The following is a 16,350-nucleotide window of genomic DNA, read 5'->3' on the forward strand; positions in this document are numbered from 1 at the left end:
CTACTTCCAGACACACCTTCTTATCTAGGTTTCTGGCCTCTACCTCCATGGTTACTACACGATTGTCCTTTAATTCCTGAGCTGAGACCTAGGTAGGGGAGACTACATCACCTCATGAATTCATTGATGTTAAGTCCCTCCTCAACCCTTGCTGGGTTCCTTACCGTGATGGTCCCCCGCCCAGCAGGTTTTCCAGGCTTCAGCATCAAGGGGAGAGTCAGTACCTGGCTGGACACAATCTGGGGAAAAGCAGGGAAGGGAGTTTCAGGATAACAGGCAGGGTTAGGTCCTGCTTGCCCCCTACCTCCAGGCAGGCTAGGTTGTCTCACAGACCTGCATCTGAAGGATCCTAATCCCCAGCCCTACATACCTGTCCTAGGGAACACTCAGCACCCCCTAGGAAGTCATCATCCCTCAGCTCTGGCGTCTTGTTGTCTATGTCATAGATTCCAAAGCGTAGCTTCTGGACTGTCTCAAAGCGGTACTCAAGCTGTAGAGTCTTGGAGAACTCAGGGCTTGAGCAGTTCCGCACCCGTTCAGTCCGGCCAAGCTGTGGGCAGAGGCCAGTAAGCATCACAGTCACAGCCTCCACCCCAAAACACAATCCTAGCCTCCCTCCACAACCTTAACCTCCATAATCCGCCTCACCTCAGCCCAGCTGCCCCCTCCCACATCCTGTAAAAGGACGCAGAGTGGGTCAGACTTGGAGCCGATGTCCTTGTCAATGAGATGGTCACAGGAAATGGACAGCTGAACCAAGGTCACGCAGTGGGCCATCTGAGGGAAAAGGAGCTGGGTCAAGCACCAGGGAGCCTTCTCTCCCCTTCCCCGACTACAGGTCCCAGCTTGGGAAGGCCAGCAGGCATCACCCAGGCAGGGCTGAGCATACGTCCACCCCCGTGACACCCAAGGAAGAGAAGGCCTCATAGCCTCCAAACCCCTCCACCCCTAGGTGAGCTCACTGGCACAGAAGATGGCAGATACAACCAACCCTGGTCTGAAGATATTGAAAAGGGGTACTAGCCTCCATCTACAACTGTGACCCCAAACTATCCTCACCCTAAAATTTGTCTTAATCCCAATAGGGCTGTCCAAACCCAGACTCTAATCTTGGTCTTTGCAAAGACCAATAAATCTTTCTGACCCCCTTACTGGCCCCAGGCCAGACCCTAATCCAAGTTCTGATCCTAACATAACCCCAAATATAACTATGATCCAGATAATATCCTCCACAAATTATCTTCTTCCAATAATTTCTCACTAACCCTGGGGATCTAACTCTTGTGGTGGAGTTATGATCCCCCTACTAATTCTCCTCACCTCTACTGCTAATGTTCAACTCCTCACTATTTCCACTGCTGCTGCCCAATCTAAGCCATCACTGTTTGTCACCTGGCTTACAGCATTAGCCTCTTCAACTGGTCTCCCTTATTCTATGCTGTCTCCACCTCCGTTCCCCCATGTCCACCCCAACAGGCTATTCTAAATACAGCAATCAGGGCGATCCTATTAAAACATAAGTGAGGCCGGACACAGTGGCTCATGCCTGTAATCCTGGCACTTTGGGAGGCCAAGGTGGGCAGATCACTTGAGGTCAGGAGTTTGAGACCAGCCTGGCCAACATGGTGAAACCCCGTCTCTACTAAAAAAAAAAATACAAAAATTAGCCAGGCATGTTGGCGTGTGCCTATAATCCTGGCTACTCAGGAGGCTGAGGCAGGAGAATTGCTTGAACCCAGGAGGTGGAGGTTGCAGTGAGCCGAGACTGTGCCACTGTACTCCAGCCTGGGCAACAAGAGCAAGATTCCGTCTCAAAAAAAAAAAAAAAAAAAAGGCCGGGGACGGTGGCTCAAGCCTGTAATCCCAGCACCTTGGGAGGCCAAGGTGGGTGGATCACGAGGTCAGGAGATCGAGACCATCCTGGCTAACATGGTGAGACCCTGTCTCTACTAAAAATACAAAAAATTAGCCAGGTGTGGTGGCGGGCGCCTGTAGTCCCAGCTACTCGGGAGGCTGAGGCAGGAGAATGGCGTGAATCCGGGAGGCAGAGCTTGCAGTGAGCCGAGATGGCGCCACTGCACTCCAGCCTGGGGGACCGAGGTTGACTCTGTCACAAAAAAAAAAAAAAAAAAGTGAGGTCATATCACGCCTCTGCCTGAACCCTCTAGTACTTCCCATTTCCTACTGAGCTTAGAAAAACTCCAAACTTGGCCAGATATGGTGGCTCACTTGAGGTCAGGAGTTCGAGACCAGCCTGACCAACATGGTGAAACCCTGTCTCTACTAAAAATAAAAAAAATTAGCTGGTATGGTGGTGGGCGCCTGTAATCCTAGCACTTTGGGAGGCTGAGGCAGGAGAATCGCTTGAACCTGGCGGGTGGAGGTTGAAGTAAGCCGAGATCGCGCCACCGTACTCCAGCCTGGGCAACAAAGCTAGACTCCATTTCCAAAAAGAAAAGAAAAGAAAAAAAGTCCAAACTATACCATGGCCTATAAGGTCCTGGAAGGTCCAGATTTCTTTAACCTGATCTCGGAGTGTCTCTCTTGCTCACTCCATTTCAGCCACTTTGTCACTCCTCAAATAAGCCAAGTTTGTTTGTTCCTTCTTTCGTGAGACAGAGTCTCACTGTCACCCAGGCTGAAGTGCAGTGGTGAGATCTCAGCTCACCACAACCTCTGCCCCTTGGGTTCAAGCGATCCCTCCCACCTCAGCCTCCCAAGTAGCTGGGACTACAGGTGTGCATCACCACACCCAGCTATTTTTTTTTTTTTTTTTTTGTAGAGACAGGGTCTCACTATGTTGCCCAGGCTGCTGGGCAACTCCTCGGATCAAGCAATCCACCCACCTCAGCCTCCCAAAGTCCTGGCATGATAGTGTGTGCCACCACACCCAGCCAGCCAAGTTTGTTTCTACCCCAAACACTTTGCAGTACCTGGAATGTGTTCTTTCTCTGCATTATATCCACATGGCTCACTGCTCCCTTTCCCCACAAGTCTTTACTCAAAATAATCTTCCCTGTTTTATATATACATATATATATAAAGGCTCTCCCTTTTAGCCCCTCTAAAATTTCAACCCCACTGCCCCTGGCATTGCATACCCCTTTTTTGCTTTTTCTCAATGTCTAACATTATATACATGTATATACTGTTTCCCCCACTAGAATATAAATTCTGTGAGAAAGGAATATTTAGCTGTTCTGTTTATTGCTCTATCCCAAGCACCTAGACAATACATATTTGCAGAATGAAATCTGAAAGTTCATCTCCAGCCCCAGCTCCCTGCCCAGCCAGCTCCAAACTAACTGATGTCTCGCCCTTGTAATCAGGCAGCACCAAGCTTCTCTGATTCACCCCTTCCCTCTGCTGGGAACATTATTTTCTTGCATGGTTCACCACGACAACACCTGGGTAATTCCGTCCTCCTGCAGCCACCATAACAATCACCCTCAGACCTCTTGTTATCCCTGTGTCCCCCTTGGCCCATATACCTGAAGACCACTCCACCAGCAGTGCACACGAGGTCAGATCTTTCACTGAGCTTCACTCAGCATTCCATGTTTCCCAAAGCTATACCCTGAGATGCCTCCAGCGTCAGCCCTCCCCTATACTGATCCTCAGTCAATCGCTCCTCCCTCGCAGCCCACAGCACCTCATCTTGGTCCCTCATAGTTTCCATCTGGAATGCTGTTATCAAAGTTGGAATGCTTCAGAGTTCAACTTGCTTCACATACTGCCCCTCCACAGCACCCTGGCCCCTGCATGAACAGTCCCAGTGATAGAAAACCCAGTCTTACAATCCAATCATCAGAAAGTCTAGGTCCATACAAATCCTACCCAAACTGACCTAACTCTGTGGAATTCTTACTTCTACCTGGTAGTTCTTCCCCAGCCTAGGGCTCCATGGGAAGGCCTTACCCTATCTCCCTATGAGAACTCATCTGATACCTGGAAGCTGTGAACAGTCCCAGCTGAAATCTGGAGAAACAGCCGCAGTTCTTTTGGCTGTTGCCCCTAGAATGTGGCCTGCAGACTTCTGACCATCCTGATCACTCCCTTGGGGGTTCCCCAAGGACAGACCCAGAGCAGAATACATGCTCCCTCAAGGGATCAGGATCACAGCTTCCCCCAAGTCACAATCTGAACTCCATGCATGTCACCTCACATGCTCTCCCAGGCAGTGTTTACACAGTACAGAGACAAATAAAAAAGAATGCTCATTTCACTAATGCTGGGAATAGTGAAAAATCTAAGGCAGCTTAAAGGTCTATCAACTAAATATGATACATCTGAACAACGGAATGCTGAATAGTGGCTAAAAAACAAGCCAGAACTATATTATATTGGTATCCTATGAAAAAATCAAAAATAGGCCGGGCGCAGTGGCTCACTGTTGTAATCCCAGCGTTTTGGGACGCCGAGGCAGGCGGATCACTTGAGGTCAGTTCAAGACCAGCGTGGCCAACGTGGTGAAACCCAGTCTCTACCAAAAATACAAATATCAGCTGGGTGTGGTGGTGCACACCTGTAGTCCCAGCTACTCGGGAGCCAGGAGAATCACTTGAACCTGGGAGTTGGAGGTTGCAGTGAGCCGAGATCATGGCACTGTACACAAGACTCCATCTCAAATAATAATAATAATAATAGGAAGAGTATGACCATTTTTTACTTCAATTGTAAACTTCCATTTTAAACTTCAATTGTAGGTGTATCTTTATAACAGATTTGAATACAAACATAAATAAATACACACACAGAAAAATAGAAGATGCATCAAATGTTTTAGGTAGCTCAAAGGAGTGGAAGATAAGAATTTTGTGAACTCCATAATTCTGTATTGTTTCAATATTTTATACTGTTTTGTATTTTTTAAAAGGCCTTATATGAAATAAAAAACAAAAACAAAACAAGCAAAATAAATAAAAAGGCCTCATCAGCTTTCCCCCCAAATCCACACCTCAAATCTTCTTGACTGTTCATTCTAAGCCCAAAGCCTCCACTTCCAGTTCAACAACCCCTACCTAACTTCAGGCCTTATTAGTCTCTTGCGTCCTGCTTGGTTTCTGTCCTAGCACTGCTCCACCTGGTCATCCCAGATGCCAGCTTCCAGTCTCTATTCCAAGTAAAAGCCCCGTATAGCTGCCTTTAGGTTCGGAGCCAAACTCCCTAGCAAAGCTACCTTGCTGCACAACTCCAAAGGACATACCTACATAGAATTTGGTAGTTTTGCAATCTGGTAACCCTGCATCCCTAGATCAACCTTCAAAGCTCTTCCCAGTTTGCCATCAGCTCTACCTCCTGCCGCTCACTCACCCACCCACCGAACTAGTCATCCAAAGTTATTTCTGGTTCATCTAACACACATGCCTGACTTTCCTGCCTAGCAAATGTCCTGTCATCCATGGTTCTAATATGACATTATTCCTTTATGAACCCTTGCCTGTTTTCCCCAAGGATTTTCTTGTCTCTGCTCTGGATGACTGCGATGTTTCCTCATTAGTGTTTCTGCGACCATACACACACATTTCTGGGTTTATTAGCCAAACAGAAACCTGATCATGTCATTTTTCCACTGAAAACTCTGGAATGCCTTTCCAAAACACTTAAGATAAAACCCAAAGTTCTTACCATGGTCTTCAAGGCCCTGCAAGACCTTACCCTTGCCTAACTAATCATCTAGCCACGCAACTATCCTCCAGCCAGGTTGGCCTTTCTGATCCACATATACCTAACACCAACCTTATTTACCACCTCAGGGCTTTTGCACTCTGTCTCCCTCCTTATACACTACAGAAAATAAGCTATACTAGAGTAGGAACTCTGGCTAGCTCCAGGACCCACAGCAGTATCTATCTATCCTACAGTAGATACTCATCAGTAAGTATTTAGTGACTGACTTAACATTGAAGCCACACCATAATTTTTACTTTTGTCTGTCTACCCTGTAAACTATGGGGTCCTTGAACTAGGGCTGGATATTATCTCTGTATCACTAGTATTAGTACTTAGTATATAGCTGGTACTAATAACCATTTGCTGAACAAATGGTGAATGTGCTTTTGCTCAAGTCACACTTCAGGCCTTGAACTGATGTGTAACAATAAATCTCCCCTATCCTGATCTTGTATAGTTCAACTTTGAAATTTAAATGCAGGACTCCTACAACTCAATATTAAATGATAGTCAATTAAAATGGGCAAAAGATTTGATCAGGCACTTCATAAAGGAAAATATGTGAATCAGAAATAAGCAAAGTGATCCACAGCGTTAATTATCAGGGAAATGAAAAATAAAACCACAATGAGATACTGTTACATACCCACCACAATGGCTAAAAGTATAATTAAAAAGACCACCACCACCAAATGCTGGCAAGGATATGGAACTCTCATATATTGTTAGTGAAAGCATTAAATGTACCACTTTGGAAAACAGTCTGGCAGCTTATCAAAAAACCTAACAAACACCTAGCCCAAGAGCGATTCCACTCCTACATTTTTAGCCAAAAGAAATGGAAACATTATGTCCACAAAGATTTGTATAAGAATGTTCACAGCAGCTTTATTCACAATAGCCAAAAACTTGAAACAGCCCAGGTATTCATCAATATGAGAACCAATTGTGATGTTTATAGAAAACTATTCAGCAACAAAAAAATCTATTAGTATCTGTAACATGAATAAAAATGAAGAATAAAGTAAACAGATTCCATTTATGAAGTTTCAGAACAGGCAAAACGAATCTGTGATGTAAATATTCAGAACACTGGTTGTCCTCCCTTCTCCCCCAGGGGAAGGGAAGGTATTAACTGAGCAGAGGCAGAGAGCTCCCAGTGGAAAGGGAAACGTTCTTAGCATTCTAAGAATATGGGTCACAGGAGTGTGTGCATTTGCCACTTCCATCTAAAGGAACACTGAGTGTACACATCTGATTGTAAAATTTTACAAAAAAAAAAAACAAAACCCAACAACCCATAAACAAATGTTGCACTAAAGTTAAGGCATGTTGAAATGTTTACAAGTGTACCGATGACTGAAACTTTTTTGAAATCCACCAAAAAATAAAAGGAGTTGTTGAAGAAATGTGATAAAACAAGATTTTAAGTTGTAGGATCTGAAATGGCGGATATATGGGTATAATTTTTTTCAACTTTGCTACATGTTGAAAATTTTCATAATAAAATGTTGGGGAAACTATTATTTTTTTTTTAGACAGAGTCTCACTCTGTTGCCCAGGCTGGAGTGCAATGGCACCATCTCGGCTCATAGTAACCTCCGCCTCCTGGGTTCCAGCGATTCTCCCACTACAGCCTCCAGAGTAGCTGGGATTACAGGCACCTGCCATCATGCCCGGCTAATTTTCATATTTTTGTAGAGACAGGGTTTCACCATGTTGGCTAGGCTGGTATTGAACTCCTGACCTGAGGTGATCCGCCCGCCTTGGCCTCCCAAAGTGCTGGGATTACAGGCATGAGCCACCGCACCCAGCTAGGGAAATTTTTAATTGGAGAACTACAGGTCCTCCCCCTGGTAAGAGGTTGTTGTGAATGACAAAAGCATTAGCAGTGATTATTTGGGGTGGTAAGATTACAGGCCACAACTGGAGCTGCTGTCTTCTCACTCCACGACTTCTCAAATGTCCCCAAAAGAGATGCCCTTGGTCTGGGCCAAACACGTGTAGTGGGCTACTATTATCATCTTCCTGTGTAGGCCTCAATTTCTGGTGGACTATTCCTTCCTAATCATTACCATTACACCACTTTTCCTGGACTAAATCCTTTTTCAGTTTTTTGAACCCAGAATCAAACCCCAGCCATACTGTTGTGGGCTCATGTGTGCCTCAGTAGGATAAGGGGCTGAACTCTCACTGATGTGAGCCCCTAAGGTGGCCTGGCTTCCATTCTGAGGTCAGAGCTTCCTGTGCAAGCAGTTTTGTTCACAGATTTGTCTCCTTTTCTTTCTCATTGGAATCAACTCTTTATAAACAAATCTTTTCCATCTGTAGTTTTCTATCCTTTGAGCAACATTTCCTTTAAATGATCTATAAACCACGGGATTATTAATCTCTTCCAAAACATGTTTAATCTCCTTTGAAATCTACCTCTAAGCCTATCTCTGCTTAGAAATCTGTGATTAAAACTGTTCATGTCACTCTTCTGTCCTACATCTCTTGAACAACTACCTACTTTAAACCAGACTCATGTATTTTTCATATACTGCCATTATAATTAACGCCATGGACTTTCAACCTCCTTTTTAGGACCAAAATCTTCCAGAACCATATTAAATATCACATTTGAGTCAATAAAAAAAATTTGTCATTTATTTTTGTGATATTTGTGCACTCTTTCATCACCGAGCACATCTTGGCTCGATGTCTCTAACAGTCTAACTGGTTTTACCATTTCCACTCTCAGTCCCCTCCTATCTGTTATGTTGAAGTCACAGACATTCCCTGACTCTAATCCAACAAAACCCCAATTCTTATAATCCTATCAAAATGTGTAACTTGCTTATTATGTATTTCTCCTCTTGGACTGTAACTTCAACAAGCAGAGGGACCAGATTAGTCTTGCTTCTGTGCCAACGCCTGGAACACAGCAGGTGCTCTACTGATATCTGTTAAATTTATGAATGCTAGGAAAGGAGTGATACTCAAGGATCCTCAGAAATGACCCAAATCTAGCTCTGACCTGCTACTGAGACACTGAGAGAAGTAGGCTTTCTAGGAACACCCAACACCAAACACCAATTTATCTTCTCTGTTAGGTCCCCACCCCCTGACCCTTCCATTTGGGACTAGTCGGGTGTTGCGAATGGAACAGCTGAGTCTATAGCTCCAACATTTTTCTGCCTCTGCTTTCTACCACTTAGGAGTTACCCTTTATAGTTTGTTTTCTTCTGTTTACTCCCTCTGCCAACCTCAATGTGCCCTAGCAGGGCACATTCTCTCAGTGTCCCTTAAGAAAGGCATACTCATTCCCATTTTTATAACTTAAAATTCACAAAATGTCAGAAATAAAAAAGAACTGAGTGGCCATCTAATTCAAGTCCCTCAATCCAAGGCATAGAGGGAAGATGTGGTTTGGCTAAGGCCACATATATGGTTAAGTGAAATGAAGACTAGAACTCAAATATTCTGATTCCTACCTAATCTCAAACCTTGGACTGTTGTTAGACTTTTTTCCTCTCTTTGAAAAGCCCCCCTTTTTATATTGTTGCAATCTGATGCAGTGGGCAAGAGTGTGGGTTCTGCAGTGAAGTGACCAGGCTCCAAATACTGGCCTTATTCCTTCCTAGCCACAATAATGACATACTACAACACTAAATTGATGTCATATCTATATAACTTGGGCAAATACTTAATCTCACTAAACTTCAGGTTCCTCAGGTGTAAACTGGGGGATAGTATCTATTTCTGAAGATTAATATAAATAATGTATGCATGATGCTTAGTACAGAGGCTGGAACTGCTATGACCACGTGTTAGCTATTATCGTTATCCTTCAAGCCTAGCTTATATATGCTCCCCTTTTCATGATCTTTCCAGCACTCAACTTCTCACTCTGGACCACTATATTCAATTCATGCCACACGACTGTATTCTGTCGATGTTTCTCCAGCTTCTTGCCTGTCAATTAAATGACAAAGCTCTTCAGAATAAACACTGTTTCAGCATCTCCTGCCACACAGCATATACCTGAGCACATAATGGGAATTCAAATACTTGAGGCAAGTCTGCAGCAGTGTGCTGGCGCAAGCTTGTATGGCTTGCAAGAGCCAACTGTTACATATCAGGAAATCGTTGAAGCAGGTGGCCTTGGTAAGTTTAAAACTGTAGAAATTGGGCAACTGCAAAAAGTCATGGCTTCCTTCACCCTGCCAGCCAGTTTACCAGCATACTACTGTCGATAGGGAATCCCATTCTCTGCTACAAGGGAGTAACTTGCCCTTCATTTTCTATGGCCACCCTTCCCTTGCCTTGGGAGGTTCTAATTTTCCTATTCATAACCAAGAACAGATTTCTCCTGGGTCCAGTGGGATCTAATTCAGTGCCAAATGAGCTGAAATTCATTTGTCAGTCCTTAACACTTCCCTCTTCCACTTCCAAAGTCCTAACCCAGAAAGGCACCAGCCTGCAATTCCCAATTCCTTATCCACCCCAGGTAATGACCAGAAGTTGTACAGAGGCTGCAAGAAGGTGGCATAGAGGGCTGAAGGTCTGGGTGGCAGGGCCACTCCTTTAATAAACCAATGTCATGCTCACACTCCTATTGCCTACCTTGGCATGCTGGATCAGCTCACAGATGCAGGATCAAGTCTTGAAAGCCAATCAGAAAATCCTCCATAGGCTTACAAAGGACCACCCATGGAACATTGTTTCCCGTAAGACTGAAAAGACAAACTACACCAACCACCACCACTCTTCTTTTTCCTTTTTGGCCCCATCAAAGGACATGGAGAAGGTAGACAAGTTTTCTTATCCCTACTTTTCTAACTCGAGGATTCTCCAAATTTACATCAGCAGCTCTAAGGATATTCCTCACAGGTCACAAACTGAACCAAAAATGAAAATCCTTTCTATAAAACTACACATTCCTTATTCATACATATGACTAAGGGCTACTGAATGGTACTCATAAACTGAAATTTTCAATAAATTTGGTTTAGATCCATATACTACTAAGGAGTCAGGCTGACACAAAGTATTTGGCAACACTACAAAGCTTAACATGTGCACACAAAAACTAAAAGGTGGGAAAATATGAAAAAGAAGATGGCCACAAGGTTTTCCACTTTACTGTACTGGGTGAAGGTCAAAAACAAAAAACCAAAGCCACTAATCTAACCCCAACATCCCCAAAGGCTTATCCAAAAGTTGAACAAATCTGACCACTGTACAACTAACTCTTCAAAAAGAACCTAACTTGACGACAAAACTGGATATGGAGAAGGAAAGAAGCAAACTGAGGAGGACTACATGGTCTTCAAAAGCAGGATAGGGCCATCTGGCTGTGACATCTGTCACCCCATTGATCACCAGGGTTGATTTGGCTGATCTGGCTGACTAGGTGGGTGTCCCCTTCCTCCCTCACCGCTCCACATGCATCTGTCCCGAAGCTGCATGCTCGATTGAAGACGACCATCCCTGAGAGAGGAGGACTGGTCTTTGGTCAAGGATATACGAGTGCTCCCCTGCTAGAACCTGCAAACAGGCTCTCAAAAGCAGGATAGGACTGTAGCGGAGTGGGTGTTTTTCTCTGCCCAGAGACTCTGAACACACCAACACAAAGTCTTCACGTGAGTACTTCAAAATAAGTTCAGGCAGGGTGCAGTGGCTCACACCTGTAATCCCAGCACTTTGGGAGGCTGGATCACCTGAGGTCAGGAGTTCGAGACCAGCCTGGCCAACATGGTGAAACCCTGTCTCTACTAAAAATACAAAAATTAGCCAGGTGTGGTGGTGCACACCTGTAATCCCAGCTACTTGGCAGGCTGAGGCAGGAGAATTGCTTGAACCCAGGAGGCGGAGCTGAGATCACGCCACTGCACTGCAGCCTAAGCAACAGAGTGAGACTCTGTTGCGAAAACAAAAAAACAACAAAGTAAGTTCAGGTCCCCCTCTGCAATCATAAGCTTGACCGTGGAGGCCAAGAAGCCCTACCAATAGGTAAGGGCCCTCCACACTATAGTTGGAGTTGGCAAACTGAAAAGGCTCCTTCCCCAGCAGCTCAGAATCCATGACAGAAGACTGCTGCCAGTGGCCTCCCACTTTCCCTAAAAGTCAGGGAGGGGCTGGGGATAGTTGAGGGAGGGTTTCTACCTGAGGAGTCATACAAGCATCCATGATTAAAACATCTTTGTTTTCCCCTTACTATTAATTATTTTTCTCTGCCTGGATTACCCCACCTGTAAAGTAGGGATGATAATGTTAACTTTACAGTGTTATTTGTGAGGATTACATGAGGACAGTCATAGAAAGTATCCCCTGCCCGGCACAGAGTAAGTACCCAGTGTCAACTGTCCCTGTAGGTGCTCACAAACAGGGAAGTGCACCTTTGGGTCCTTCTGCAGTATCATTAACTCCTTCTTGGTTAATTGGACCAAGGAGGAGTGGATCCAGGAGGAATGCCTCTGGTCTACCTGCTCCAGGATATAACTAGCAGGACAGGGACAGCCCCCAAAAGGAGAGATGAAGACTCTTCCCCTTTGAATTTCTCAAGCTGCAGTGTAGAATCACTACCACACTAGGGAAACCAGGAGAGCAGTACCCAGATCAAAATTTGGAGCTCCATTCCTGGTCACTTTAGTTTAAGGTCCAAACTCAGTACAGATTTCCAGAAACCGAATGGCTAGGTTCATACAATCACAGAAGCTTAAAACTGGACACAAGCTTATCTAATTTAATCCCATACTGTAAAAGAAACACTGAGGCCAGAGGGAAATAATCTGTCCTAAGTCACATAACTGATGGAACCACGAACCGATTCTGAGAATGTTATTTCTATATCCAACCATTTTAGCAACAGTTCACATTTTGTAATTCACCCCAATCTGAAATCTACCCTGCCACTACAACAGCAGTGAGACTCACATGGTCTCCCCTCATGATCTATGCTAATGTTAGCCTTGCACAAACATGGAATATAATTCTCCCTATTTGTCTGACTGCTGGGGAAGGAAGGTAGGAAATCCTGGACTCCACATTTACAGGAGTTGATCAAAGGAATAAATTTTAAGTAGCAAGCATGCATAGTGCAAATAAGGTAGAACTCACCTCTAAAAAATGTGATCTGTATCAAAATTTTCAAAGGACATCTATAGGGTAGTCAATTCTGCCCCCATCCCTCCCGGCTGAAATCTACATTCTTTTAATGTCTATCACCTGTGGGGTGTCTGAGACAACAGTACTATACCGCCTTCCTGATGATCTCCAGGACTGAGGCATCACCAAATACCTGTGCATCTACAGTGTGCACAAAAGGAGTGTATATCTCCTACAGCACAAAATGAGATGAGTAAATGAACAAAAGCAGACCAGAGCTCTTGGAAAAGAAACCTACCTATTGTTCATAATGCAAGCCCCTTACCCTTCACTGGAATAAATTCATTTGGGACACTGGGGAGAGTTTAAGATGGGTCTTCAGAATTTACATGTTAGGGAAGCCGAGAAAGCAAAGGAATATTTCAACAACAGGAAACTACACTATGACAAAGACTAGTTTACACTTGTTCCTGTCTAACCATAACTTAGCAAATGGCCAGGAAAGCCACTACCTGGTTCCCGTGGTATAGGAATGTACCTAGTATAAGCACAACCAAGCACTTAGTTGTGACTTAAAACCCTCAACTGTTGAAGAACAGGAACCTTATTTTGCTTTTCCACCAAAGTATAAGTGCTGGGTGCACACCACTGCAAAAATCTGTTAGTATGAGATACAGCTATGGCTAAGCTGTACATTCATGTGAAGTTGTCTTAAAAGCTTGAAGGTGACAGGTGCTTCCAATTCCAATCTGTCAATTCAATGGTCATAGAAGTAAAGCAGCTCATCTACATCAGTAATTAGTAGTTGCATTAATGTCCATCACTTCAGTCAGAGTTACAGCACAGGGACCCTACTGGTCCCACAGGCCAAACCACAGAAGGGAGTTATGTATAAAGGCTGGGCCACTCTCCAGCCCCCACTGCAATCTAATGTGTGGAGTATAGTGGAGTGTGGCATTAACAAACTTCCAAGTGGGATCACAGAAAAATCAAGGCAATCAGAGGCACTGGTACCAGTTGGTGTGATTTAAAACCTTTTAAGAAACTGAGGCCAGGCATAGTGGCTCACACCTGTAATCCCAGCACTTTGAGAGGCCAAGGCGGGAGCATCACTTGAGCCCCGGAGTTCAAGACCGGCCTGAGCCACATAGTGAAACTACCCCTCCACTCCACCATCACCCCTACCCCAGCAATTACCTCATCTCTACAAAAAAATTAAAAAAAAAAAAAAATAGCTACTTAGGAGGCTGAAGCAGGATTGCTTGAGCCCAGGACATCGAGGTTACAGTGAGCTGACTGTACCACTGCACTCCAGCCTGGGCAGCAGAGCAAGACCATCTCAAAAAAAAAAAAAAAAAAAAAAAAAAGAAACAAAAAAACTATTTAACCCTCTTAAATCCTTCCCACTGTGTGACTTGTGGTGTAGCACAATGTGGTTGTTATCATTTGATATGAAGCACAAACTCTAAGTGACAAGGCTTTTTTTTTTTTTTTTTGAGACAGGGTCTTGCTATGTTACTCACGCTAGTCTCAATTCCTGGGCTCAAGCGATCCTCCCACCTCGGCCTCCCAAAGTGCTGGGATTACAGGTGTGACCCACCACACCCAGCCTGACAAGTCTTATCCACCAATCAAAAGCTATGAATGAACTACTCCCACCCATTAGGAGGCTGAGGCTAGAGACAGCAGTGAAGGGGCTTCAGTCTAAGAGTTTTAAGTCCTGGTTACGAGCAGGTTTACTATATAAGCAAGCAAAGGGAGGAAATGAACAGCAGCAGAATGGAGGTAATGAACCATCAAGTAGCCCATTTGAATACAGTACAGCTCATTCCTAAAATGAGTTAAATACACTCAACACCTTTGACTGTTCATACTGAATTATGTTCTCTTGCTGGGCATTGCCCCACAACGAAATAGTCATCTCCTATCATGAAATGGCAAGCCATTAATTAAGCAAAATGACTTGAAACTAGTAAGTTACTAAGATCAATATCCAGATGTCTGGAACAACTGGGGAGCCAATTCCAATGCTCAGCTGTGCCATTTACCACTTCTCTATATGACGTTTGCTGAGTCTCTATGCCCTAACCTTTAACATTTTAATTAAAAAAAAATAGGGCCGGGCATGGTGGCTCATGCCTGTAATCCCAGCACTTTGGGAGGCTGAGGTGGGTGGATCACCTGAGGTCAGGAGTTCGAGACCAGCCTGGCCAACATGGTGAAACCCCATCTCTACTAAAAATACAAAAAAAATTAGCTGGGCATGGTGGCAGATGCCCATAATCCCAGCTACTCGGGAGGCTGAGGCAGGAGAATCGCTTGAACCCGGGAGGCGGAGGTTGCAGTGAGCTGAGATCACGCCATCGCACTCCAGCCTGGGGGACAAGCGTGAGACTTTGTCTCAAAAAAAAAAAAAAAAAAAAAAGAGCGCTTCACAAATTGCGTGTCATCCTTGTAGAGGGGCCATGCTAATCTTCTCTGTTTAATTCGTTTTTAATATGTGCTGCTGAAGCAAGCACATCTTAAACATTTTCACTGGAAGGAGGTCCGTGGGGCTATTGACAGAATTCAAGGGATTTGGTTGTGATTTTTCCCAGCACTCTTTCCTGCCCTTAGACTTTCAGAGTGCTGTCCTTCTGTCCCTGGGTCTGAAATGTTTATGTCAGGTGGCTTTTTCCTCCTTCTGGACTCCAGTGATAGAGCAGTATGTAGAGTAGCAAGCCACCGTGGCTACTCACTGCTAGTTAACGTTGATCCAGAAAAGGAGTCATACTCTAGGATGCTTTTGAGACTCTAACACAAAGCAGCCAAAGCACCAAGAATAAACCCAAGAACAGCATGGTAAAGAATTACCATTTACCAGCTGGGCACGGTGGCTCACGCCTGTAATCCCAGCACTTTGGGAGGCCGAGGTGGGCGGATCATGAGATCAGGAGGTGGGGACTATGCTGGCCAACATGGCAAAACCCCGTCTCTACTAAAAATGAAAAAAAAAAAAAAAAAAATTAGCTGGGCTTGGCGGCACGCACCTATAGTCTCAGCTACTGAGAGGCTGAGGCAGGAGAATCGCTTGAACCCAGGAGGTGGAGGTTGCAGTGAGCCGAGATCGCACCACTGCACTCCAGCCTGGGCAACAGATACAGACTCCATCTCAAAAAAAAAAAAAAATTACCATTTACCTGAGCAGGAGATGAACTTGCTTATGTTGTTGAATAGACAGGGGTTTTCCCAGAAAAGTCACTGTAACATCAGAGAATTGTGCTACTACCAGAGTACACTCTTTCCAGAACATTTCACAAGTCAAAATGATCAGATTCTATACTAAAAAGATAAGACTGAAATAAAGCCATTTTTAATAAAAAAGGAAAGCCATAAGTTTGATTCTACCATACCCTGTAAAAGCTCTACTTTTGGGAGATTAGTGATGATGCACATAGTTGATAAACTATTTCTTGCTGTAAAACACTGGAAAGCAGGTAACAATGAATTACATAACTGATCTCTCCTGAACAAGAAAAGGAGACATATTATCACACAGTCCACCCCTTTCAGATGGTAAAAGCCATTTTGGATATCTGTAGGCAG

At 44.4% G+C, this 16,350-nt stretch overlaps 1 protein-coding gene and 2 pseudogenes across 7 annotated transcripts in view, besides 1 other annotated feature; 1 reads left to right on the forward strand and 2 right to left on the reverse strand.

Annotated features, from left to right (window-relative positions):
• Positions 1 to 16,350, reverse strand: part of CPNE1 (copine 1) — a 38,857-nt gene that overhangs the window by 6,103 nt on the left and 16,404 nt on the right. For all 7 annotated transcript variants that reach the window (NR_037188.2, NM_001198863.2, NM_152926.3 and 4 more), the window contains 4 exons: positions 649 to 777; positions 371 to 550; positions 165 to 239; positions 17 to 88 (listed from right to left, as the gene is read on the reverse strand). Coding sequence is in view for 6 of the 7 variants with exons in the window: in NM_001198863.2 (NP_001185792.1) it covers positions 17 to 88; positions 165 to 239; positions 371 to 550; positions 649 to 777 (456 nt within the window). In the remaining variant the exon portion in view is untranslated. The remainder of the gene's footprint in view (positions 1 to 16; positions 89 to 164; positions 240 to 370; positions 551 to 648; positions 778 to 16,350) is intronic.
• Positions 3,609 to 4,108: an enhancer, noted in NCBI's record as "H3K27ac hESC enhancer chr20:34223677-34224176 (GRCh37/hg19 assembly coordinates)". NCBI's record gives its function as "activates a minimal SCP1, AML or CMV promoter by ChIP-STARR-seq in primed H9 embryonic stem cells {active_cell/tissue: H9 hESC(primed)}" and the evidence as "EXISTENCE:reporter gene assay evidence [ECO:0000049][PMID:30033119]".
• RN7SKP271 (RN7SK pseudogene 271) lies at positions 10,997 to 11,223 on the forward strand (annotated as a pseudogene).
• RNU6-759P (RNA, U6 small nuclear 759, pseudogene) lies at positions 15,182 to 15,284 on the reverse strand (annotated as a pseudogene).

Source organism: Homo sapiens, chromosome 20 (genome assembly GCF_000001405.40).
Source record: "Homo sapiens chromosome 20, GRCh38.p14 Primary Assembly".
NCBI classification, from domain to species: Eukaryota; Metazoa; Chordata; class Mammalia; order Primates; family Hominidae; genus Homo; species Homo sapiens.